The 25,248-nt window shown below is 38.0% G+C and overlaps 1 protein-coding gene across 22 annotated transcripts in view; it reads left to right on the top strand.

Annotated features, from left to right (window-relative positions):
* DMXL2 (Dmx like 2) overlaps positions 1-25,248 on the top strand; it is a 174,981-nt gene that overhangs the window by 21,849 nt on the left and 127,884 nt on the right. For 21 of the 22 annotated variants that reach the window (NR_165648.1, NR_165649.1, XR_007064435.1 and 18 more), the window contains exon 2: positions 24,742-24,867. Coding sequence is in view for 17 of the 22 variants with exons in the window: in NM_001378460.1 (NP_001365389.1) it covers positions 24,742-24,867 (126 nt within the window). In the remaining 5 variants the exon portion in view is untranslated. Of the gene's footprint in view, positions 1-23,997; positions 24,036-24,741; positions 24,868-25,248 lie in introns of those variants that run through there. The other variant, XM_047432316.1, reaches the window with a different exon arrangement.

The following is a 25,248-nucleotide window of genomic DNA, read 5'->3' as shown; positions in this document are numbered from 1 at the left end:
GATGGGGCTCCAGGGATTATTGTGGAGCTGGGATATGACCATATGAGATGGTCATGGATGTTTACAGTCTGTCTTTCATGAGATAGTTTTTTATCTTGGTAGATGTCCTAATGCTTAAATGTCAGACCTATGGCCAGGTGTTCTTCTCACAGGAAACTTATACTGGCAGATACCCTTGTGGTTCTTGTCCTATCCGTGTCCAGTTTATTTGACCAAGACAGCCACGCTCTAGGAGAACCCTGACCAAGCGGAGAATTAGGTTCAGGTGTGTTGGTCAGGTGAGCTACAGAGGAGATGGTAAAACAAAACGCATGAAATAACAAGCAGTTTTAATTTCAGATTTTAGAGAGAAGAGAAAGTAGCACACCTTGCAAGGTCAACAGGAAGAGGGGTGCCACCTAGGACACGCAAGTGCAACCAGTGGATGGGATGAAAGAGAAAGGACCTAGGGAACTAAAGCCTTTACTGGGGTCCAGGGTGTTCTTAACCAAGCAAGTTTCCTATGAGGAGTTCTAATTTGTAGGTTGGAGCAAGCAGGCATGAGTCATGCTGTGACTAAGAGGTGGTCACTGAGGCATATCTGTGCAGGGTTTGGGGTCATTAGGGTGAGTCAGGTAGATTCTACCTAGCTCTCCTAAAAGGAGGTGATAACCAGGAGGTGGTTGTAAAAGGCAGGTATCTTGATTGACCACATTGAGGACCTGGGAGGAAATGGAGAACTAAAAACTGTGTCAAGGGTGACTGAGCCCTGATTCTTGAATGAGAAAGTCAGACTTATACTTGAAACGAATGCCAAGGCAACCTAAAATTATAGGAATTCACTACACAAATAAACCACAATTGCAGATAGAAATATTTTGGATATTGTGAGCCAGGTTTCTCATTATTGAAGAAGAGAGTTACAAGTGTAGAAAGTGGGAAGGCAGCCGGGTGCAATGGGTCACACCTGTAATCCCAGCACTTTGGGAGGCTGAGGCGGGCAGATCACGAGGTCAGGAGATTGAGACCATCCTGGCTAACACAGTGAAACCCTGTCTCTACTAAAAATACAAAAAATTAGCTGGGCATGTTGGCACGTGCCTGTAATCCCAGCTACTTGGGAGGCTGAGGCAGAAGAATCGCTTGAACGTGGGAGGTGAAGGTTGCAGTGAGCCAAGATGGCACCACTGCACTCCAGCCTGGGTGACAAAGCGAGACTCCATCTCAAAAAAAGAGAAAGTGGGAAGGCCAGAATGAACCTTGTCAATATAATTGCATTAGAGGCATTAGTGTGACCTCATAGATGTGTATGTGTCTATACACATATGAATATATTACATGTTTATATGAATAATGTGTGTATGTATACATGCATATATTTGTGTATATTTAAACAGACATAGAGCAGTGATGTATAGGTATAGAGATATGTAGATATGATACGGATGTTTGTATTGGTGTGTCTTTGATCCTAAGCCCTTTCAGTGGACAGTTGAAAATAGATATGTGTGTGTCTGTCTATAGATACATACATAAACATACACACACATTTGTTTTCCTAACTGTCAGCTGAGAGGCCTAGAAGCAGTGATACCCCTGTAGCAGTGAACACAACTGGCATCTAGATCTTGGTTTCTAAATACCTTTGTCCACTAAAAGGAACCACTATTTCTTGGAGGAATAGCTGATTTTAGGCTGGAGCATGAAAAATGAGATGAATCTGGAATTTCTTGTGCCAGAAAGTAAGGAATTGCTCAAAGAATGGTCATAGCATGTCATAATGACACTGGAGCTAGCTTAAAGGTCTTCCACTGGCCAAATCTGGGACAATCTGGGTATGAAAATAAATGATAGTGGATTATAACCCTTTGAATAAGATAAAAATCCATGAATTTTTACTGATATAAATAAGTACACAAATAAGGAACGCTCTTCTTTACAGAGGGAAACTGACAAATGATGCAACGATGGAATTAGAAAATTGCCATTTGGCAGCCATCATAGTAGTACTAAAACTAATGGATGAAAGTTTAGTAAGGAACAGGATATTTACATAATCTCAAAATATATTCCCACAGTATACTTATTAATTATAAAGGAAAAACAACATAGAGGAGAAACCTGGAAGATACTATCTGCATTTGCTGTCCAAAGTAAACATCATCAGAGATGGGGCAAATTAACAGAAGTGCCACCTGATAAAATGCAATAAGAACATTGCTACATTTCTGTGGTATTCCTGCCCCAAACCCATAACCTAAATCTAATTGAGAGGAAACATCAGAGAAACCTGCATTTTAAGATATTCTATAAAATAACTGATCTGTGTTCTTCAAAAGTGTTAATGCCATGAAAGACAAAGAAAGAGTGAAGAATTATTCCAGATTAAAGGAGTCTAAAAAGACATAGCTAAACACTTAATCTGGAATTTTCTTTTACTATAAAGGACACTATTGCAGCAGTTCAAGAAATCTAAGCTCTATAGATAATAGTATTTTATCAGTATCCATTGCCCGATCTTGATAATTGTACTGTGGTCATATAAGACATTTTTAAGGGGAAACATTAAAGTATTAAGGAATAAAAAGGAATCATGCCTGCAACTTTCAAATGGTCCAGAAAAAAATATATGTATGTATACAGAGACAAGGGTAAAGCAGATGTAAAATATTAACATTTGGGGAATGTGGTATACAGGAACTTTTTATAACTTTGTATAACTGTATAAATTTACAACTTTTTGTAAGCCTGAAATTATGTCAAAATAAAAAACTAAAAGTAAAGGAAGTACTGTATCATAAAAGGAGATTAATGATAGATTGGACTACTTTAAAATTAGGAACTTCCTCAAAGATAGCATTAAAAGTGAAATGCAAGTTGTGGAGTTGGAGAAAAGAATTGCAACATCTATATTTGACAAAGGACTAGTATCCAGAATATAACAATATCTACAAATAAGAAAATGATAACAATAACGGATGAAATATTTGAACAGGTGCGTCACAAGAGAAAATCTAAATGACCGGTAAATATTTGAAAAGGAGCCATAGCTCATTAATAATCACAAAAAGACAGATTGAAATCAGGAGATTCTATTATATACCTAACAGATTTGCACAAAATTACTTACTCTCACATGTATCTGGTGATGGCAAGGATGTCCAGTGATGGGAATTCTCATGCACTGCTAGTGACAGTATAAATTGGTACAACTATTTTGGAAAACAATTTAGCATTAATGCCAAAATTTAAGATACGCCTAACCTGTGATCCATCAGTTCCTCTTTTGTGTGTATATTCTAGAGAAATGCATGCACGTATGCGAGATTTCCCTACAAGAATGTTCATAGCAGCATTGTATGTAATAGGCAAAATGTCCATCAACATTAGAGTGGATAAATTGTGGTACATACCAGGGAATATTAATAAGAAATGAAAGTGAGTGAATCACAGTTACATACACCAGGATAAACTTCTGACCTAATGTTCAGAGAAAGAGACACAAAAGCATACAGTATGATTCCATTTACATAAAGTTCAGAGGGGAGGCAAAACTAAACCATATTGTTTAGGCATGCATACAGAGGTTGAAAAACTACAAAGAAAAATAAGGGGGTGATTTCCCAAAAAGGGTAGTGGCTACTTTTGCTTGAGACGGAGAAGTGTAATTTGGAAGGGACAGATAATCTTTTGAGTTGCTGGAAATACTCTTCTCTTCTTGGGTGGTGGTTACACATGTACTCACTTTAATTTATTCTTTGTGGAGGATGTTTTAGGTACACCTCTGAATTTAAAACATTGTCTTAGTGGGTTTTGTGAGGTTTTATGAGGGATTATGTAGGTGCATGTTTGTCTGCTTTTTTATTATTATTATTATACTTTAAGTTTTAGGGTACATGTGCACAACGTGCAGGTTAGTTACATATGTATACATGTGCCATGTTGGTGTGCTGCACCCATCAACTTGTCATTTAACATTAGGTATATCTCCTAATGCTATCCCACCCCCCTCCTCCCACCTCACAACAGGCCCCGGTGTGTGATGTTCCCCTTCCTGTGTCCATGTGTTCTTATTGTTCAGTTCCCACCTATGAGTGAGAACATGCGGTGTTTGGTTTTTTGTCTTTGCGATAGTTAGCTGAGAATGATGGTTTCCAGCTTCATCCATGTTCCTACAAAGGACATGAACTCATCATTTTTTATGGCTGCATAGCATTCCATGGTGTATATGTGCCACATTTTCTTAATCCAGTCTATCATTGTTGGACATTTGGGTTGGTTCCAAGTCTTTGCTATTGTGAACAGTGCCGCAGTAAACATATGTGTGCATGTGTCTTTATAGCAGCATGATTTATAATCCTTTGGGTATATACCCAGTAATGGGATTGCTGGGTCAAATGGTATTTCTAGTTCAAGATCCCTGAGGAATTGCCACACTGACTTCCACAATGGTCGAACTAGTTTACAGTCCCACCAGCAGTGTAAAAGTGTTCCTATTTCTCCACATCCTCTCCAGCACCTGTTGTTTCCTGACTTTTTAATGATCGCCATTCTAACTGGTGTGAGATGGTATCTCATTGTGGTTTTGATCTGCATTTCTCTGATGACCAGTGATGATGAGCATTTTTTCATGTGTCTTTTGGCTGCATAAATGTCTTCTTTTGAGAAGTGTCTGTTCATATCCTTCGCCCACTTTTTGATGGGGCTGTTTGTTTTTTTCTTGTAGATTTGTTTGAGTTCATTGTAGATTCTGGATATTAGCCCTTTGTCAGATGAGTAGTTTGCGAAAATTTTCTCCCATTCTGTAGGTTGCCTGTTCACTCTGATGGTAGTTTCTTTTGCTGTGCAGAAGCTCTTTAGTTTAATTAGATCCCTTTTGTCAATTTTGGCTTTTGTTGCCACTGCTTTTGGTGTTTTAGACATGAAGTCCTTGCCCATGCCTATGTCCTGAATGTTATTGCCTAGGTTTTCTTCTAGGGTTTTTATGGTTTTAGGTCTAACATTTAAGTCTTTAATCCATCTTGAATTAATTTTTGTATAAGGTGTAAGGAAGGGATCCAGTTTCAGCTTTCTACCTATGGCTAGCCAGTTTTCCCAGCACCATTTATTAAATAAGAAATCCTTTCCCCGTTTCTTGCTTTTGTCAGGTTTGTCAAAGATCAGATGGTTGTAGATATGTGGCATTATTTCTGAGGGCTCTGTTCTGTTCCATTGATCTATATCTCTGTTTTGGTACCAGTACCATACTGTTTTGGTTACTGTAGCCTTGTAGTATAGTTTGAAGTCAGGTGGCGTGATGCCTCCAGCTTTGTTCTTTTGGCTTAGGATTGACTTGGCAATGCAGGCTCTGTTTTGGTTCCATATGAACTTTAAAGTAGTTTTTTCCAATTCTGTGAAGAAAGTCATTGGTAGCTTGATGGATGGCATTGAATCTATAAATTACCTTGGGCAGTATGGCCATTTTCACGATATTGATTCTTCCTACCCATGAACATGGAATGTTCTTCCATTTATTTGTATCCTCTTTTATTTCATTGAGCAGTGGTTTGTAGTTCTCCTTGAAGAGGTCCTTCATGTCCTTTGTAAGATGAATTCCTAGATATTTTATTCTCTTTGAAGCAATTGTGAGTGGGAGTTCACTCATGATTTGGCTCTCTGTTTGTCTGTTATTGGTATATAAGAATGCTTGTGATTTTTGCACATTGATTTTGTATCCTGAGACTTTGCTGAAGTTGCCTATCAGCTTAAGGAGATTTTGGGCTGAGATGATGGGGTTTTCTGGATATACAATCATGTCATCTGCAAACAGGGACAATTTGACTTCCTCTTTTCCTAATTGAATACCCTTTATTTCCTTCTCCTGCCTGATTGCCCTGGCCAGAACTTCCAACACTATATTGAATAGGAGTGGTGAGAGAGGACATCCCTGTCTTGTGCCAGTTTTCAAAGGGAATGCTTCCAGTTTTTGCCCATTCACTATGATATTGGCTGTGATATGACAGACCGTCATAGATAGCTCTTATTATTTTGACATACAACCCATCAATACCTAATTTATTGAGAGTTTTTAGCATGAAGGTTGTTGAATTTTGTCAAAGGCCTTTTCTGCGTCTCTTGAGATAATCATACGGTTTTTGTCTTTGGTTCTGTTTATATGCTGGATTACATTTATTGATTTGCGTATGTTGAACCAGCCTTGCATCCCAGGGATGAAGCCCACTTGATCATGGTGGATAAGCTTCTTGATGTGCTGCTGGATTTGGTTTGCCAGTATTTTATTGAGGATTTTTGCATCAATGTTCATCAGGGATATTGGTCTAAAATTCTCTTTTTTTGTTGTGTCTCTGCCAGGCTTTGGTATCAGGATGATGCTGGCCTCATAAAATGAGTTAGGGAGGATTCCCTCTTTTTCTTTTGATTGGAATAGTTTCAGGAGGAATGGTACCAGCTCCTCCTTGTACCTCTGGTAGAATTTGGCTGTGAATCCATCTGGTCCTGGATTTTTTTGGTTGGTAAGCTATTAATTATTGCCTCAATTTCAGAGCCTGTTATTGGTCTGTTCAGAGATTCAACTTCTTCCTGGTTTAGTCTTTGGAGGGTGTATGTGTCGAGGAATTTATCCATTTCTTCTAGATTTTCTAGTTTATTTGTGTAGAGGTGTTTATAGTATTCTCTGATGGTAGTTTGTATTTCTGTGGGATCAGTGGTGATATCCCCTTTATCATTTTTTGTTGCATCTATTTGATTCTTCTCTTTTCTTCTTTATTAGTCTTGCTAGTGGTCTATCAATTTTGTTGATCTTTTCAAAAAACCAGCTTCTGGATTCATTGATTTTTTTGAAGGGTTTTTTGTGTCTCTATTTCCTTCAGTTCTGCTCTGATCTTAGTTATTTCTTGCCTTCTGCTAGCTTTTGACTGTGTTTGCTCTTGCTTCTCTAGTTCTTTTAATTGTGATGTTAGGGTGTCAGTTTTAGATCTTTCCTGCTTTCTCTTGTGGGCATTTAGTGCTATAAATTTCCCTCTACACACTGCTTTGAATGTGTCCCAGAGATTCTGGTATGTCATGTCTTTGTTCTCATTGGTTTCAAAGAACATCTTTATTTCTGCCTTCATTTCGTTATTTACCCAGTAGTCATTCAGGAGCAGGTTGTTGAGTTTCCATGTAGTTGAGCGGTTTTGAGTGAGTTTCTTAATCCTGAGTTCTAGTTTGATTGCACTGTGGTCTGAGAGACAGTTTGTTATAATTTCTGTTCTTTTCCATTTGCTGAGGAGTGCTTTACTTCCAACTATGTGGTCAATTTTGGAATAAGTGCGGTGTTGTGCTGAGAAGAATGTATATTCTGTTGATTTGGGGTGGAGAGTTCTGTAGATGTCTATTAGGTCTGCTTGGTGCAGAGCTGAGTTGAATTCCTGGATATCCTTGTTAACCTTCTGTCTCGTTGATCTGTCTAATGTTGACAGTGGGGTGTTAAAGTCTCCCATTATTATTGTGTGGGAGTCTAAGTCTCTTTCTAGGTCTCTAAAGACTTGCTTTATGAATCTGGGTGTTCCTGTATTAGGTGCATATATATTTAGGATAGTTAGCTCTTCTTGTTGAATTCAGCCCTTTACCATTATGTAATGGCCTTCTTTGTCTCTTTTGATCTTTGTTGGTTTAAAGTCTGTTTTATCAGAGACTAGGATTGCAACCCCTGCCTTTTTTTGTTTTCTATTTGCTTGGTAGATCTTCCTCCATCCCTTTGTTTTGAGCGTATGTGTGTCTCTGCACGTGAGATGGGTTTCCTGAATACAGCACACTGATGGGTCTTGACTCTTTATCCAATTTGCCAGTCTGTGTCTTTTAATTGGAGCATTTAGCCCATTTACATTTAAGGTTAATATTGTCAGGTGTGAATTTGATCCTGTCATTATGATGTTAGCTGGTTATTTTGCTCATTAGTTGATGCAATGTCTTCTTAGCCTCGATGGTCTTTACAATTTGGCATGTTTTTACAGTGGCTGGTACTGGTTGTTCCTTTCCATGTTTAGTGCTTCCTTCAGGAGCTCTTTTAGGGCAGGCCTGGCAGTGACAAAATCTCTCAGCATTTGCTTGTCTATAAAGGATTTTATTTCTCCTTCACTTATGAAGCTTAGTTTGGCTGGATATGAAATTCTGGGTGAAAATTCTTTTCTTTAAGAATGTTGAATATTGGCCCCCACTCTCTTCTGGCTCTTGTAGAGTTTATGCCGAGAGATCAGCTGTTAGTCTGATGGGCTTCCATTTGTGGGTGGACCTTTCTCTCTGGCTGCGCTTAACATTTTTTCCTTCATTTCAACTTTGGTTAATCAGACAATTATGTGTCTTGGAGTTGCTCTTGTCAAGGAGTATCTTTGTGGCGTTCTCTGTATTTCCTGAATTTGAATGTTGGCCTGCCTTGCTGGATTGGGGAAGTTCTCCTGGATAATATCCTGTAGAGTGTTTTCCAACTTGGTTCCATTGTCCCTGTCACTTTCAGGTACACCAATGAGACGTAGATTTGGTCTTTTCACATAGTCCCATATTTCTTGGAGGCTTTGTTCGTTTCTTTTTATTCTTTTTTCTCTTAACTTCTCTTCTTGCTTCATTTCATTCATTTCATCTTCCATCACTGATACCCTTTCTTCCAGTTGATCGAATCAGCGACTGAGGCTTGTGCATTCGTCATGTAGTTCCTGTGCCTTGGTTTTTAGCTCCATCAGGTCCTTTAAGGACTTCTCTGCATTGGTTATTCTAGTTAGCCATTCGTCTATTTTTTTTTTCAAGGTTTTTAACTTCTTTGCCATGGGTTCGAACGTTCTCCTTTAGCTCGGAGTAGTTTGATCGTCTGAAGCCTTCTTCTCTCAGCTCGTCAAAGTCATTCTCCGTCCAGCTTTGTTCCGTTGCTGATGAGGAGCTGCTTTCCTTTGGAGGAGGAGAGGCGCTCTGATTTTTAGAGTTTCCAGTTTTTCTGCTCTGTTTTTTCCCCATCTTTGTGGTTTTATCTACCTTTGGTCTTTGATGATGGTGACGTACAGATGGGGTTTTGGTGTGGATGTCCTTTCTGTTTGCTAGTTTTCCTTCTAAGAGTCAGGACCCTCAGCTGCAGGTCTGTTGGAGTTTGCTGGAGGTCCACTCCAGACCCTGTTTGCCTGGGTATCAGCAGCTGAGGCTGCAGAACAGCGGATATTGGTGAACAGCGGATCGTTCCTCTGGAAGTTTTGTCTCAGAGGAGTACCCGGCCATGTGCGGTGTCAGTCTGCCCCTACTGGGGGGTGCCTCCCAGTTAGGCTACTCGGGGGTCAGGGACCCACTTGAGGAGGCAGTCTGTCCGTTCTCAGATGTCCAGCTGAGTGCTGGGAGAACCACTGCTCTCTTCAAGGCTGTCAGACGGACATTTAAGTCTGCAGAGGGTTCTGCTGCCTTTTGTTTAGCTGTGCCCTGCCCCCACAGGTGGAGTCTACAGAGGCAGGCAGGCCTCCTTGAACTGAGGTGGGCTCCACCCAGTTGGAGCTTCCCACCGCTTTGTTTACCTACTCAAGGCTGGGCAATGGTGGGCGCCCCTCCCCCAGCCGCACTGCCACCTTGCAGTTTGATCTCAGACTGCTGTGCTAGCAATGAGCGAGGCTCTGTGGGCGTAGGACCCTCCGAGCCAGGCGCGGGATATAATCTCCTGGTGTGCTGTTTGCTAAGACCATTGCAAAAGCACAGTATTAGGGTGGGAGTGACCCGATTTTCCAGGTGCCGTCTGTCACCGCTTTCTTTGACTAGGAAAGGGAATTCCCTGACCCCTTGCGCTTCCTGGGTGAGGCGATGCCTCGCCCTGCTTCGGTTCACGTTCGGTGCACTGCATCCACTGTCCTGCATCCACTTTCCGACACTCCCCAGTGAGATGAACCCGGTACCTCAGTTGGAAATGCAGAAATCACCCATCTTCTGCGTCGCTCACTCTGGGAGCTGTAGACTGGAGCTGTTCCTATTCGGCCATCTTGGCTCCACCCCCCTTGTCTGCTATTTTTAATGAGAATCTCAAGCCTTTACAAATTAAAAAAATACAAACAAAAACTTACTGTCCACTTCTCTCTCTCTCCTCCTGTCCTAGCAAAATATAAGCACATGTGGCAGGATCCTGTGTGTATTTTCTACCACATTATGCCCTGTGTGCCTGGTCTAGAGTAACTGCTCAACAGACATTTGTTGACTTAATGCTTAGCAGTTATCGTATTATGAATAGTTGTTGAATAAAGAGTTAAAATGGAAGTTGGGTGCAGTGGCATGCCTGTAGTTTCAGCTACTTGGGAGGCTGAGGTGGGAGGATCACCTGAGCCTAGGAGTTTGAGTCCAACTAACATATTGAGACCCCATCTCTTAAAAAAAAAAAATTAAAATGGAACTAGTCAAGGCAGATTACCTTAGTAATGGGAAATTTATTGTAAGGATATAGAAAAGAGAATAGTAGACAAATCTTCCAAGAGTCTTGTAACACAAGTTGTAGTACAGCTGAGCCTCAGTTATCAGGGACTCATTTCTGTGGACTGCTTACTCTTTCTAGTGGGCTATGTGGTCTCTTACAGTGTCTGTTCCTCTTTTTGTGTTGGGTCTATTAAAACTGGCTTACATGAGAATCACAGTGACTTCCCTGGCCTCTGTGTACATAAAGCCATTTTGGCTTTAGTGCCTGTTAATACCTGCTACATTTCTTGATTTTACTAGTTGAATATCTAGGAAGTAGAATCTGACCCAGTTCACTCTTTTAAGCCAGACCACATCATAGCTTGCTGGCTAGCCTATGGCTTTTGGTATTAAATTCTTGGTCTTTGGAATCAAGTGTCAACGCCAGATCCAGTCAGTTTTATACTGTTGATCACGTGGTCTGCCAGGGCTGCTCTTTCAGAAGGACTGTAGATGGGGCACTTTTCTCTAGAAAGGCCTGTGAATAAGATGAACAATACATTTGACATGATAAAGCATAATTTTTCTATTATGTGTTGTTTAGATTGTTTGCTTTTTTATTGCTTTACATAATGGTGCAATAAACATCTTAATACTAATTGTGATCTTTGTTTGCATGTCTGGATGTTTTCTTAGGGTCGAGTCCTAAAAAGAGATTTACTGAATCAAAGTACTCTATTTAATTCTCTTTATAGTCTCTTAATTCATAATATCGAATTATTTTCCAGAAAAGTTGTATGGTTTGATGCTGTACCATACTCTAGCTCATTGCTTTTTCTATACTTTATTAAAGGCTGAAAAAAAGTACATTTAGCTATCTAATGCTCAAAAGCCTTGCAATCACATATTCTGGGTTCCAAGCAATCACAGATAACTTTAGTAACTGCTATCACTGTATGCATCCTGTTTTGCTCTCTTTCCTCCCAGAATTCTCATTGTACTCCTTACCCTAATTTCATGGCCAAATCCACATTTTCTTTGAAGCCCTGCTCTGTATATCCCTAATCTTTGTACCAGTTTTGCTTCTAGTCAGGGCAAGAGGCAAATGTACTGAAGTAAGAGCAAGGTTTATTTTAAGATACACAATAAACCATCAAGGAAGAGCAATTGGACTTCAGAGTAATTGGAAATAGAAAGCTGGTAGTATCAACTGCTTTGTTTTAGGGATTTTATGCATTGTTTTCTTACAGGTCTTTCTTGTCTTTGGGCATCTGATCTATTTGCTTCTGAAACTTGTGAGTTCCTCTTCAAGTTGCACATGATTCTTAATAGTTGCCTTATTTCTGAATATGCATGACTTTTCAGCTCCACTCTTTCTGGTAACTCTGGGTCTTTTGGTTTAAATTTCCCGGAGTAGACTTTGATTGGCTTAGCTCATCTTTTCCAGCTGGTTATTAGCCACCGTCATTTCCAGATGGTTATTAGTCATTATTCTGGACCATCCTCTAATTCTGCCATCTGTGAGGAGGGGAAACATCACAAAGTAAAGAACATACTGTGCCTGCTTACCTACGGCTCTATGTAAAATAGTGCACACTGGATTATTTAATCTTTTGGAGACTTTTTGAAGCAAATTTGTGTACAGCCACAGAAATACAGTGTAAAAAAGGGGTCTCAAATGATCTAGCTGAAATCTTTCATTTGGCTGCTGAAGGAAACATCTATAGGAAGATTGTGATATACCCATTGTTACAGTGTTAGCTCCTCTAGATTCTCAGGAATATGCTCTTTCCATCATACTGAAGGTGTTGGAAGTTTAATTACAGTTTAATAGTATAATCACAATTTAATAGTTTAATCATACTATTTGAGCAAAGTTTTTGGGACACTGTTACGACTATTTCCCTCAAAATATCAACATTTAGATTAAATGGTTTTCCAGAAATTTCCAATAGTTACAAAAATAATTTGAAGTTGTCATAAATATTAATTTATGTTGGTATATATGACATAATATACAATTAACTTTAAAACTTTCAAATGTAAAATGTATTAAGAACAAATTGAGAAACAGTATTGTGGCTGGGTGTGGCAGCTCACACCTGTAATCCCAGCACTTTAGGAGGTTGAGGCCTGTAATCCCAGCGCTCCTGGCCAGATCACTTGAGCCCAGGAGTTCGAGACTAGCCTGGACAACATGGTGAAATACTATCTCTACCAAAAAATACAAAAAATTAACAGGGTGTGGTGCTTGCACCTGTGGTCCTAGCTATTTGGGAGGCTGAAGTGGGAGGATTGCTTGAGTCTGGGAGGTGGCAGTTGAAGAGAGCTGAGATTGTGCCACTGCACTCCAGCCTAGGGGACAGGGTGAGACCTCATCTCAAAAAAAAAAAAAACCCCTAAACAATATTGGGTCATCACCATCAGAGTGAACAGGCGACCTACAGAATGGGAAAAAAATTCTGCAACCTACTCAGCTGACAAAGCACTAATATCCAGAATCTACAATTAACTCAAACAAATTTACAAGAAAAAAACAAACAACCCCATCAAAAAGTGGGCAAAGGATATGAACAGACACTTCTCAAAAGAAGACATTTATGCAGCCAAAAAACATCTGAAAAAATGCTCATCATCACTGGCCATCAGAGAAATGCAAATCAAAACCACAATGAGATACCATCTCACACCAGTTAGAATGGCGATCATTAAAAAGTCAGGAAACAACAGGTGCTGGAGAGGATGTGGAGAAATAGGAACACTTTTACACTGCTGGTGGGACTGTAAACTGGTTCAACCATTGTGGAAGTCAGTGTGGCGATTCCTCAGGGATCTAGAGCTAGAAATACCATCTGACCCAGCCATCCCATTACTGGCTATATACCCAAAGGTTTATAAATCATGCTGCTATAAAGACACATGCACACGTATGTTTACTGCGGCACTATTCACAATAGCAAAGACTTGGAACCAACCCAAATATCCAACAATGATAGACTGGATTAAGAAAATGTGGCACATATACACCATGGAATGCTATGCAGCCATAAAAAATGATGAGTTCATGTCCTTTGTAGGGACATGGATGAAGCTGGAAACCATCATTCTCAGCAAACTGTCTCAAGGACAAAAAACCAAACACTGCATATTCTCACTCGTAGGTGGGAATTGAACAATGACAACACATGGACACAGGAAGGAGAACATCACATACCGGGACCTGTTGTGGGGTGGGGGGACGGGGGAGGGATAGCATTAGGAGATATACCTAATGCTAAATGATGAGTTAATGGGTGCAGCACACCAACATGGCACATGTATACATATGTAACAAACCTGCACGTTGTGCACATGTACCCTAAAACTTAAAGTATAATAAAAAAAGTTATTTTTATTTCTTTAGAAGTAGCTATTTTAAAAAGTAGTATTTTACTTCATTATTTGTTATGAAGCAAATTGTTACATACTCCAAGCTTTTGAGAATAAATTTGAGGCTAAAAGGTGACTGTAGGTTTTTGTATATGTTGGCCAGGCCATGGGACTGATTTTTACAGTATTGATTTTTTTTTTTTTTAGAGATTTTTGACAATGAATACTTTGAATGGTTTATTCTTAGCACTGACATATAAATAGTTATTAAAAGCACTGACATATAAAATATAAGATATAAGATTTTTGATTTCCACTTCCGGATCTACCTTTTATTGAGAATGCAGGCAAGCTGGAGATAGAGTTGGTTTTATAATGGTTAATTAGAGCAAATAATTAATTATTGCATATTTTGCTTTTCAAGGTCTCATTTTCCTTTCAGATATTACTACCACCAGTGAAAAAAACACGTTTTTCTTCTTTATCAGAGGTATATAAATAGACTTAGTTTGGACCACAAGTTTGTTTCTCTTTAGCTTAGTACTTAGAAGTTTGTTATAGCTCCATCTATTAGTAAATTATCAAAATTGGCTAGTTTTTTTTTAGTAACATTAAATTACTCTTTTTAAAGTCTAAATTTAAAATTTTACTTTTATAAAGAAAGTTCTTTCTTTCAGGCCAGTTGCTGTTTTGGAGTAGTTAGGAAGAAATTTGAAATCATCTTGCCTTTTACCACTTACTCATAAACGCTTAGAACGTTTTCTTAAGTTTTCTTCTGTTGTTTTTTTCTTCCCATAGATTTTTGTTTTTACATATTTGTAGTCAAGCTTTGTCTTATGTTTCCCTCGACATAGCACCCACAGCTTTGCGTTTTTCTACTGCTCTTGCATAAATTTTGTTAATTTTGCATTTTCTGATATGAGTTGTTTCTAAGAGGAACAGTCCCTTTGATTACCACACAAGCAGTCGTTATTAGGTTATTTCCAACATTTCCGTACTCATCATTGACTTAGGTTAAACTTTTTTGCTGTAAGCTTTCTTCATACTGTCTAGTTCCTTTTTCATGTATTTATTTTGCTTATTCAGCACTCTCGAGTGGACTTTGGGCAGTTAGAATAACTGAATCATGTCAGTAAAGTGTGTTCTCAATCATGTGGACAAAAGAACTTATTCAAATGCTACCCCTTCCCTGCTTTTCTTACTGTAGTGTGGACTTACATCTCAATGGTAGGAGTTTTATGTATCTTGGAGTTGGCGGTGCCTTGTGGTGGGTGGGAGTTAATAATGGTAAGGGTTTGTTTGTAGGTGTGAAAAACTGCAGAAAGACAAATGGACCAATAATATGAATAGTCAGTTTACAGAGAAAGAAATATAAATGGCTGATAAATATGTGAAAAGATGCTTATCTTCTAATAAAAATACAAATTAGAACAGGGAGATGTCAGGTTTTGTTGGAATGGAAAGATTAAAACATTTGATAATGATTGGGGTTAGTGAGTAAGTGGAGAAATAGGTACTTTTATACAGCTTGGGGCTATAATCTTTTTGGAAGACAATTTGCAGTTGCAATTAATTTTAATCACTGATCCAGCATATTATATCTTAGAATTTATCCTGTAGGGATTCTTGGACACATACGCATATATCATCTATACATACATGTTCATCGAAGCATTGTTTGAAATAGTAAAAGACTGGAAACAACCAAAATTAATTATGGCAAAGCCACAACATGAAATACTAATACTGTGCAGCTATTAAGAAGAATGAATATAAACAGAGCCAAAGACAAAAACCACATGATTATCTCAATAGATGCAGAAAAAGCCTTTGACAAAATTCAACAACCCTTCATGCTAAAAACTCTCAATAAATTAGGTATTGATGGGACGTATTTCAAAATAATAAGAGCTATCTATGACAAACCCACAGCCAATATCATACTGAATGGGCAAAAACTGGAAGCATTCCCTTTGAAAACTGGCACATGACAGGGATGCCCTCTCTCACCGCTCCTATTCAACATAGTGTTGGAAGTTCTGGCCAGGGCAATCAGGCAGGAGAAGGAAATAAAGGGTATTCAATTAGGAAAAGAGGAAGTCAAATTGTCCCTGTTTGCAGACGACATGATTGTTTATCTAGAAAACCCCATCGTCTCAGCCCAAAATCTCCTTAAGCTGATAAGCAACTTCAGCAAAGTCTCAGGATACAAAATCAATGTACAAAAATCACAAGCATTCTTATACACCAACAACAGACAAACAGAGAGCCAAATCATGGGTGAACTCCCATTCACAATTGCTTCAAAGAGAATAAAATACCTAGGAATCCAACTTACAAGGGATGTGAAGGACCTCTTCAAGGAGAACTACAAACCACTGCTCAAGGAAATAAAAGAGGACACAAACAAATGGAAGAACATTCCATGCTCATGGGTAGGAAGAATCAATATCGTGAAAATGGCCATACTGCCCAAGGTAATTTACAGATTCAATGCCATCCCCATCAAGCTACCAATGACTTTCTTCACAGAATTGGAAAAAACTACTTTAAAGTTCATATGGAACCAAAAAAGAGCCCGCATTGCCAAGTCAATCCTAAGCCAAAAGAACAAAGCTGGAGGCATCACACTACCTGACTTCAAACTATACTACAAGGCTACAGTAACCAAAACAGCATGGTACTGGTACCAAAACAGAGATATAGATCAATGGAACAGAACAGAGCCCTCAGAAATAATGCCGCATATCTACAACTATCTGATCTTTGACAAACCTGAGAAAAACAAGCAATGGGGAAAGGATTCCCTATTTAATAAATGGTGCTGGGAAAACTGGCTAGCCATATGTAGAAAGCTGAAACTGGATCCCTTCCTTACACCTTATACAAAAATCAATTCAAGATGGATTAAAGATTTAAACGTTAGACCTAAAACCATAAAAACCCTAGAAGAAAACCTAGGCATTACCATTCAGGACATAGGTATGGGCAAGGACTTCATGTCCAAAACACCAAAAGCAATGGCAACAAAAGCCAAAATTGACAAATGGGATCTAATTAAACTAAAGAGCTTCTGCACAGCAAAAGAAACTACCATCAGAGTGAACAGGCAACCTACAACGTGGGAGAAAATTTTCGCAACCTACTCATCTGACAAAGGGCTAATATCCAGAATCTACAATGAACTCAAACAAATTTACAAGAAAAAAACAAACAACCCCATCAAAAAGTGGGCGAAGGACATGAACAGACACTTCTCAAAAGAAGACATTTATGCAGCCAAAAAACACATGAAGAAATGCTCATCATCACTGGCCATCAGAGAAATGCAAATCAAAACCACTATGAGATATCATCTCACACCAGTTAGAATGGCAATCATTAAAAAGTCAGGAAACAACAGGTGCTGGAGAGGATGTGGAGAAATAGGAACACTTTTACACTGTTGGTGGGACTGTAAACTAGTTCAACCATTGTGGAAGTCAGTGTGGCGATTCCTCAGGGATCTAGAACTAGAAATACCATTTGACCCAGCCATCCCATTACTGGGTATATACCCAAAGGACTATAAATCATGCTGCTATAAAGACACATGCACACGTATGTTTATCGCGGCACTATTCACAATAGCAAAGACTTGGAACCAACCCAAATGTCCAACAATGATAGACTGGATTAAGAAAATGTGGCACATATACACCATGGAATACTATGCAGCCATAAAAAATGATGAGTTCATATCCTTTGTAGGGACATGGATGAAATTGGAAACCAACATTCTCAGTAAACTATCGCAAGAACAAAAAACCAAACACCGCATATTCTCACTCATAGGTGGGAATTGAACAATGAGATCACATGGACACAGGAAGGGGAATATCACACTCTGGGGACTGTGGTGGGGTCGGGGGAGGGGGGAGGGATAGCATTGGGAGATATACCTAATGCTAGATGACACATTAGTGGGTGCAGCGCACCAGCATGGCACATGTATACATATGTAACTAACCTGCACAATGTGCACATGTACCCTAAAACTTAGAGTATAATAAAAAAAAAAAAAAAAAGAAAAAAAAAAAAAAGAAGAATGAAGTAATTTCCTCTGTGCTGATGTAGAAAGTTCTTCAAGATACATTGTTAACTAAGTGGAAAATAAGTGGCAGAATTGTGTATAGCATGATCCCATTTATGTTAAAAGAAGATATATAAAAGATATACTTTTATATATTGAACATTTCAGGAAGGGTTCATAGGTAATTATTAAGTAATTGCTTCCTGGGAATGAGGAGGGGAGGGGTAAGAAGGGTGAAAAGGATGAGAAGGTGACTTCATTTTCTTATTTAATTTTAAAATTTAATATATGTGTGATTTCCTCTATGAAAAAGAAAATCTTGTTACTGAAAACATTAATATTAAACATTTTATGTGCCTTATTTACCTTGTACATGATTTCAATGTATATGTGACTTGTGAAATTTCTTGCTTAATCAGGAACGTATTAAGGAAACCTATTTGTCCTTTTTAGAAATTAATAATTCTGAGAGTATCATAAAGAGCTAGGGTTTTAATTAGGTGACTAAAATGGAGAGAAGGAATGGGTGTTTTCCTGGGAAATCTTTGTTAATCTGTGTTTTGTCCTCTTGGTTGTAAGATTTTTCATATGTCAACACTGGCCTCTTAAGACTTTCTATAAGATCTCTTGGTACAGCCAAGTAACCATCAAAGCCCAGACAACCCTGCCTTCCTGTTAGTTTTTTTGTTTATGAGCAAAGATCACAGCAGAAGTGAAGAATTTAAATGCAATTAATAAAGAGCAAAAAATTTGAGCAACAGAAAACGAAACGATAGAAAAATGTCATTAGTAAAGTGGAAAAAACAGTAAAGAGGGCTGAGTTTGAATTATAGTCATGTATTTACCTTGTGACATAGGAATTTGATTAAATCCTGTGAAATTCCTTTTTCAAAAATATTAAGGTGGGATTAATAACCAACTTCTAGGATTGTGGCAGTCTTGAAAGAAAGATTAGGAATATAGAATGAAAATAGTATAATACTTGTCACCCAGTAGGTTTTTAATAAATGGTACCTCCTTCTTGTAATTATTTTTCTAACTCTTAATAAAATGTACCTTCTTCAGTAGAAAAGTAGACATATTTACATTGATCAAAACTCACTCCCAGGGAGCGGTGGGAGTTTAATAGTAACACTCTTGATATAGTATTCTTGGTAAGATTATAGTACTTTGTTAAACCTCTCAACATGCTTAGTACACCTTGATTTATCAGGTTTTGTTTCTTTTTTTTGGTCTTTGAAGTTTAGACACTTATCAGTAGTTGTCAATGATCTCAAACTTTGACCCTGTAACTTCCGGGATGTTAAAACATCCAACTATTCTATAGTAAATGCTAATGTAATTAATCTATTGTATGCTATAGTTTCATAGGAAATGTGGTCATGTTTGTTTAAGCTTTTTAAAAGTTTTCCTTTTGTTACTCTCCACTTCAATTTATCTGAGACATAAAGGAAATTTGAGAAATTAGAACAGTGTTTGTGGGATTAGAGTATTAGTTTTCTTTTCTGAAAATAATGTAGTTAAGACAATTATATATAAAACTAAAGTTAGAGAAGACTGAATGAGTGTGTTATGCCTCTTCACACTGCATTTTAAAAGACCTCTCAACATGCCTAATACTCCCTTATCAGTGCTTTTTTTGTCTCTTAAATTTAGACGCATCTGTCAGTGGTTGTCAGTGATCTCAAAATTTGCATTGTTCATTAGGACATTAAACCCTCTAGAGCAGCGGTCTCCAACCTTTTTGGTACCAAGGACCGGTTTTGTGGAAGACAGTTTTTCTACAGCGAGGGGTGAAGGAGAGGGATGGTTTTGGGATGATTCAAGCACATTATGTTTATCATTAGATTCTCATAAAGAGCATACAGCCTACATCCCTAGCATGTGCAGTTTACAATAGGGCTTGAGTTCCTATGAGAATCTAATGCCACCGCTGATCTGGCAGGATGTGGAGCTCAGGCAGTATTGCTCACTCACTCACTGCTCACCTCCTGCTGTGAGGCCCAGTTCCTAACAGGCCATGGACTGGTAGTAGGAATTGGGGACCCCTGCTCTAAAGAAAGCAGCAATATCTTTATTGTGGTAATAGTACCACAGCAAAGAAAAGAAACACATTCGCACAACTTTAAATACAATTTTTCGGAGTTCAGAGACCTACTGAGGCCATCTATGACTTATGTCTATTAGACTTCAGGTTGAAAACTTTTAGTTTCAATGTTCAAAGCAGAGAATACTTTTCTCTTTCCTAATAGGATGGATTTGGTCTATAAGAATAGGATTATAACAAGTGAGGGTTAATATTTTTAAAGTTTTTTTTGGATGTAACAGCTTATGCTACAGAATTATCTCTGAGCTGTGAATTACTAATATCAGCTAATCATTCTTTATCATCAGAGAAACAGTTTAGTCCTTTTATAAAACAAATCCTCCCACATGAATGGAAGGAAAGCAATTTTTCTAAGACTCTTCCTCTTTTCTTGGGCCTTCTCTGTGTGTAGGGGCTGAGCCATATCCTTGATTTCAAGATAAAGTGTTTTATAGGTCAGTACTGTTAGAAGAGCAGTACACTCGTATATTGTGCTCTGGCACAGGTCAGCTCTACAAAGAATCCAAGGAGGGATAATCCGGTCAAGGGATTCCATTTCTCCAGAAAAGGCTTGCAGTCCTTTTCCTTGCCTCCCTATAATAATCCTGTGGCCTATCTCCCACATGTGAAGAGGTTAGTTTACTAACTTTACTAACTTAGCTTAGTCAGAAGTATTTCATTTATCTAACACAAAGGAGCCCACATCCATACTCTCTGGGGTCAATTTAGTATTTGCTTGTAGTCTTAACGAACACCCTGTTTTCCTCCTGCACTATAAATTCTTCCTCTGGTAAAACTAGATTCTGAAAAAGAATGGAACAAAATCACTTTTGATCTCTCTAAAATTGAGAGAATGGGAATCTTTTGAGTAAATTATAGATTTTGTATAAACTGTTGGTCTTTACAGAATGCTTATTCTGTGCTCCATGATGTGGTAAATTAATTGGGATTACAAAAATGAACACACTCCTTCTAGCACCAACAGGATCTTCATGGAATAGAGGTAGGGCAATGCAATGGAAAGAGCAGGAACTTTACTGTGAAGCAAATGAATCCTCATTCAGTGAACTAGGGCAAATTACTTACCCTTTCTGGGCCTCAGCTTCTCTGTCTTCAAAAGCAGGCCTGTGAAGATAATGATAATTTTTGTAAAGACCCTAGCAAAACAGCTTGATCATAGTAGGTATTCAGTAAATGGTGAATTATAAGGAAGGCTTTGGTAGATTCTCTTCTAGTAGATCTTCTACATTTATTGATACTGTTAGCTGGAAAATCAGTCAGAATCTCTCCCTCTTTTCTTAAGCTTATGAGGATAGGTTGGCCAAATTATTAGCAACAAGGCAGTGTCAGTGTTTCAACTCCAAGTTCTTTGACTAAGTTTCTAGGTACTTAGACTTCTGGAGCCAGACATTCGGTTAGGAAGACTTTAATAATTTATTTACTATACAGCTATTTATTGACAGCTGCTTATGTGCTAGGTGTTGGGACCACAATGGTAAACAAGGACAAGGTAAGGTCCTTGCTCTGATGAACCATTCAGTATAGTGGGAACCAGACAGACATTAAACATGCCTTAAAACCATTAAAATCTCATGGGCCCTCAATTACAGAATGCATGTGATTCAGTACTGACTGATTATATGAGTCCCTTTTTCTTCCACCCTTGGATTATTTATGCATTAGACTCTTTAGAAAATGCCCCTGTGCACTTTTTCAAGCTGTTAGTGTGCAATAGTTTAAGAGATTCCATTCTAGCAGTAATCATGGTTATTATATAAAATGGTAGGCATTGCGTAACTCTGGTTCAACAGGAAACTAGCACCAGACATAAGTTGTTCCATTTTGATGGGAATTACTAGTTTGGTAGGGGGTTTGAGACCATTCTAAACCAGTGGTCTTTAAACTTTCCATTTTTTTCCTTTTCTTGAGACAGGGTCTCACTTAGTCACCCAGGCTGGAGTGCAGTGGTGCAATCATAGCTCACTTCAGCCTTGACTTCCCGGGCTTAAGTGATTCTCCCACCTCAGCTTCCCGAGTAGCTGGGACTGCAGTCGTGTGACACCACGCTCAACTAATTTTTGGATGTTCTGTAGAGATGAAGTCTCACTGTGTTTCCCAGGCTATTCTCGAACTCCTAGGCTCAAGTGATCTTCCTGCCTTGGCCTTCCAAAGTGTTGGGATTACAGGCATGAGCCACTGTACCCAGCCTCTTAACTTTTAGTAGCTGTGTAGTATTCCAGTGTAATTCAGTAATTTATTTAACTACTCCTCACTGATGAGTGGTATGATTATATTTAGTTTTTGCTACTATAAATACTGAGGCTCTGAATGTCCTACATATATTTTGGCAAACTTTTGTATATATACTTATAGGGTAAAATAGGGAATATTTGATCAAAAGGTATATTGTACTTAAGATTTTGATAGATATTGCCAAATTATTTTATCCATGTAGATTTTAATTTAGTCTGGTGTGGGACTGAGCAGTCTGTGTTTCTAACAGGTTTCCTAGGTGATTTTGATGCATCCAATTTGAACTATTGCCGGATCAGAAAAATGGAGTATAGTACACATTCTCTGGAAAACATCAGGCAATTATGGTTATCTAGGGAAGAGTAAAAAGCCTTTTCAGTGACTGAGCCGTAAGAGTGAATTTATCTTAAGTAGCACTAGTTGCTAGGGATGGCACATCTTTAGAGAAACAAAGTGTACTAATATTTATCTGGAATATTTTATGTCTTTTTGATATATAATGTAGGGAAAAGAATGTAAGAATTGTAAGGACCTGAGTTTGAACACTTTGCATTTAGTAACAGTAATCTTGGGCAAATTAATGCACTTGAATTTTTCTTTATACAGTGATAGTATCTACCCTCCAGGTTTGTTGCAAAGATAAAGAGAGAGTGATCCAACACTTGTTGAGTACTTCTTCTGTCTTCTACTATTTTATGACTGTCTCTGTCATGGCAGTTTGTCATTTAGTTGTAATTAGTAATTTACCTAGTCATCTCCCCATTAGAGTAACTGGGACCATGTCTTGCACTTTAGTGTTCTCAGTCCCTAGCCCAGACTTGAGACTTGGTGCACTGTTCTGTTTCTTAAATGACTGTGTAAATTTTCCATTTTAATTTTCACAAGTATCCTAAGAGACAAGTATTATTTGCTTCATTTTACCATGAGGAAATGCTTAGGGAACTTAAATAACTTTCTTAAGATAGCACAGCATGGCATAACCAAAACTGAAAACTGTGTGTGTGATTTCAAACTAGATAAAGTCTGCTTTTTCCATGAATCCACTTTGCTGAGATAATGATATAAGGCACGTTGGAAATTTTGAAATTGTTCCTCAAGAGTAAGATGATTTTTGTTATTTTAATACTATACTTTAAAAATTAGCATGGTGATCCAAACATTTCTTCTGCATATACTCAATATTCCCCTTCAGTTTGGCTTTCCTGAATTCATGGTATAACCAAGTCTGCCTTGTCTATAAGAATGTAAGTGATCATTTCCTCCTGTGAGTGATTTTCTCCATATTTTTCTTGCTTGAAATTCTGTCTTTGCTTTTCTTTTGGTGAACTTTTTGATTTTTATAAACACATGGGTTGAAGATGTTTTATATAGTGGTTATGGCAGGATTTTGGTAACATTGGAAGTTTTAGTAGAATTAATGTCTTCCTGTCTGGTCTTTATCTTCATTTCCCTCTTTCATTAGCAGCCTTATATGGATCCCTTCAGGGCATGGGTCACTGATTCAGATGTCATCACATGTCAGCCCTGGCTATTGGATATCTCTATTTTGTAGGTCGTAACCACACTGCTTAAGGGTGTGGAAACAGTGCGGAAAAATACCATTTCATAAGTTTTATGTTTATCTTGCTTTTAATGGAGCTTTTCTTTTGAGAATTGGGTTGTTAGGTTGTTTTGAATATTTAATCATAAGTAGTTTGGAAGAAAAAGAAATATGTCCCAACTCTCTGACCCTTAGGTCATAAAATTCACAAAGTTGCAAAACAGGAATAGCATACAGCAAGAAGTGTTGCAATAGGAAGAAATGTGTGGTTTTACTCATTAGAGTTGGACATGGGAATTTTCCCAACAATTTAATTCTGTGTTGTAGTCTATTTTCAAGATCATATAGTGGTATTTGCCCAATATTCTATATAAATTCATTCATTTTCTATTTTATTTGACTTTTTTACCTTTGGTAAAACAACTTTGGGTTGGTTTCCTTTCTCCCTCAGGCCTGATGATGTTGGGGATGGATGGTGGATGTTGGAGGCAGGCTGCGTTGTGGATTCATTTGAGTCTTGATGCATTTAAGTTTAGCCATTGCCTTAGTGCATGTAATTCTGCCTTTGTTGTTCATGTTTATTTAACTAGCTCTTTAAGGCATGTGGAATTGTGTTGGAAAATGCATGCCTGATTTCTATCTTGATATTTCTTAAGCCTGGTTTGAACCCTGGGAACACAGTTACAGTCTTCAGTGGCTTAGTATTTTTAGATGGAGCTTTTATACTTTAGGGTTTACTGAGATGAACTTTGGAGAGAAAGTCTAAACAGAATGACTTATGACCTGCAGGAACAGTGGCTGTTCTAAGAACTGGAAGAACCCTTTTCCTATTAGTAACAGTTGTTGAATGATAATGCATGGAGTGTCATCAGTTTATTTTTTAATGTGACTTTTAATGTTCTTATTTAGAAATTGATATTATATTAACTATTTTGTAAAATGTCCCAAGGTATACTTTATAATGGCAATAAAATCTAAGATAAAATAGTATGTAATAAGATTTCAAAAGTTACATATCTTATGTATTGTAAAACTTTTTTTTTTTTTTTTTTTTAGGCATATGGATCAGGCTGTGATATTGTTATTTTGGCAAATGACTTTGAATGTGTACAGATCATTCCTGGTGCTAAGCATGGAAACATCCAAGTCAGCTGTGTGGAGTGTTCTAACCAACAAGGAAGAGTAAGGGATTTAATTTCTTTACTGAATGTCATTTAAAAATGTGTTTAATAATCTCAGAATCTTCTTATCCTTTTATGCAAAGCTTGCGTATAATTTCTTATGTATTGCTTGGGTGATTATTAGCAGAAGTTGCAAAGTGATAGGTTTATACAAATTGTAAAGTGCCATTAAACTGATAATTTGATAATTGTTCTACAGCTGTATGTATACTGTCTTCAAAGATCTGTAGGCCTTACAATCCTGTGCATACTGATATTCTGCCAGTTAATACTTCTAGCAGCCATTAAGCCAGTAAGGGGAAGTAAACTTTTTTCTTCTCTACCTAGCACCCCTTATATCACTCATACTATAACATCAAAGTTTTATTAAGAAACTCTGCAA

The sequence above is a fragment of the Homo sapiens genome, chromosome 15, assembly GCF_000001405.40.
Source record: "Homo sapiens chromosome 15, GRCh38.p14 Primary Assembly".
Taxonomy (NCBI): domain Eukaryota; kingdom Metazoa; phylum Chordata; class Mammalia; order Primates; family Hominidae; genus Homo; species Homo sapiens.
Note: the sequence above shows the minus strand (reverse complement) of the source record. Positions and strands in the feature narration are given on the sequence as shown.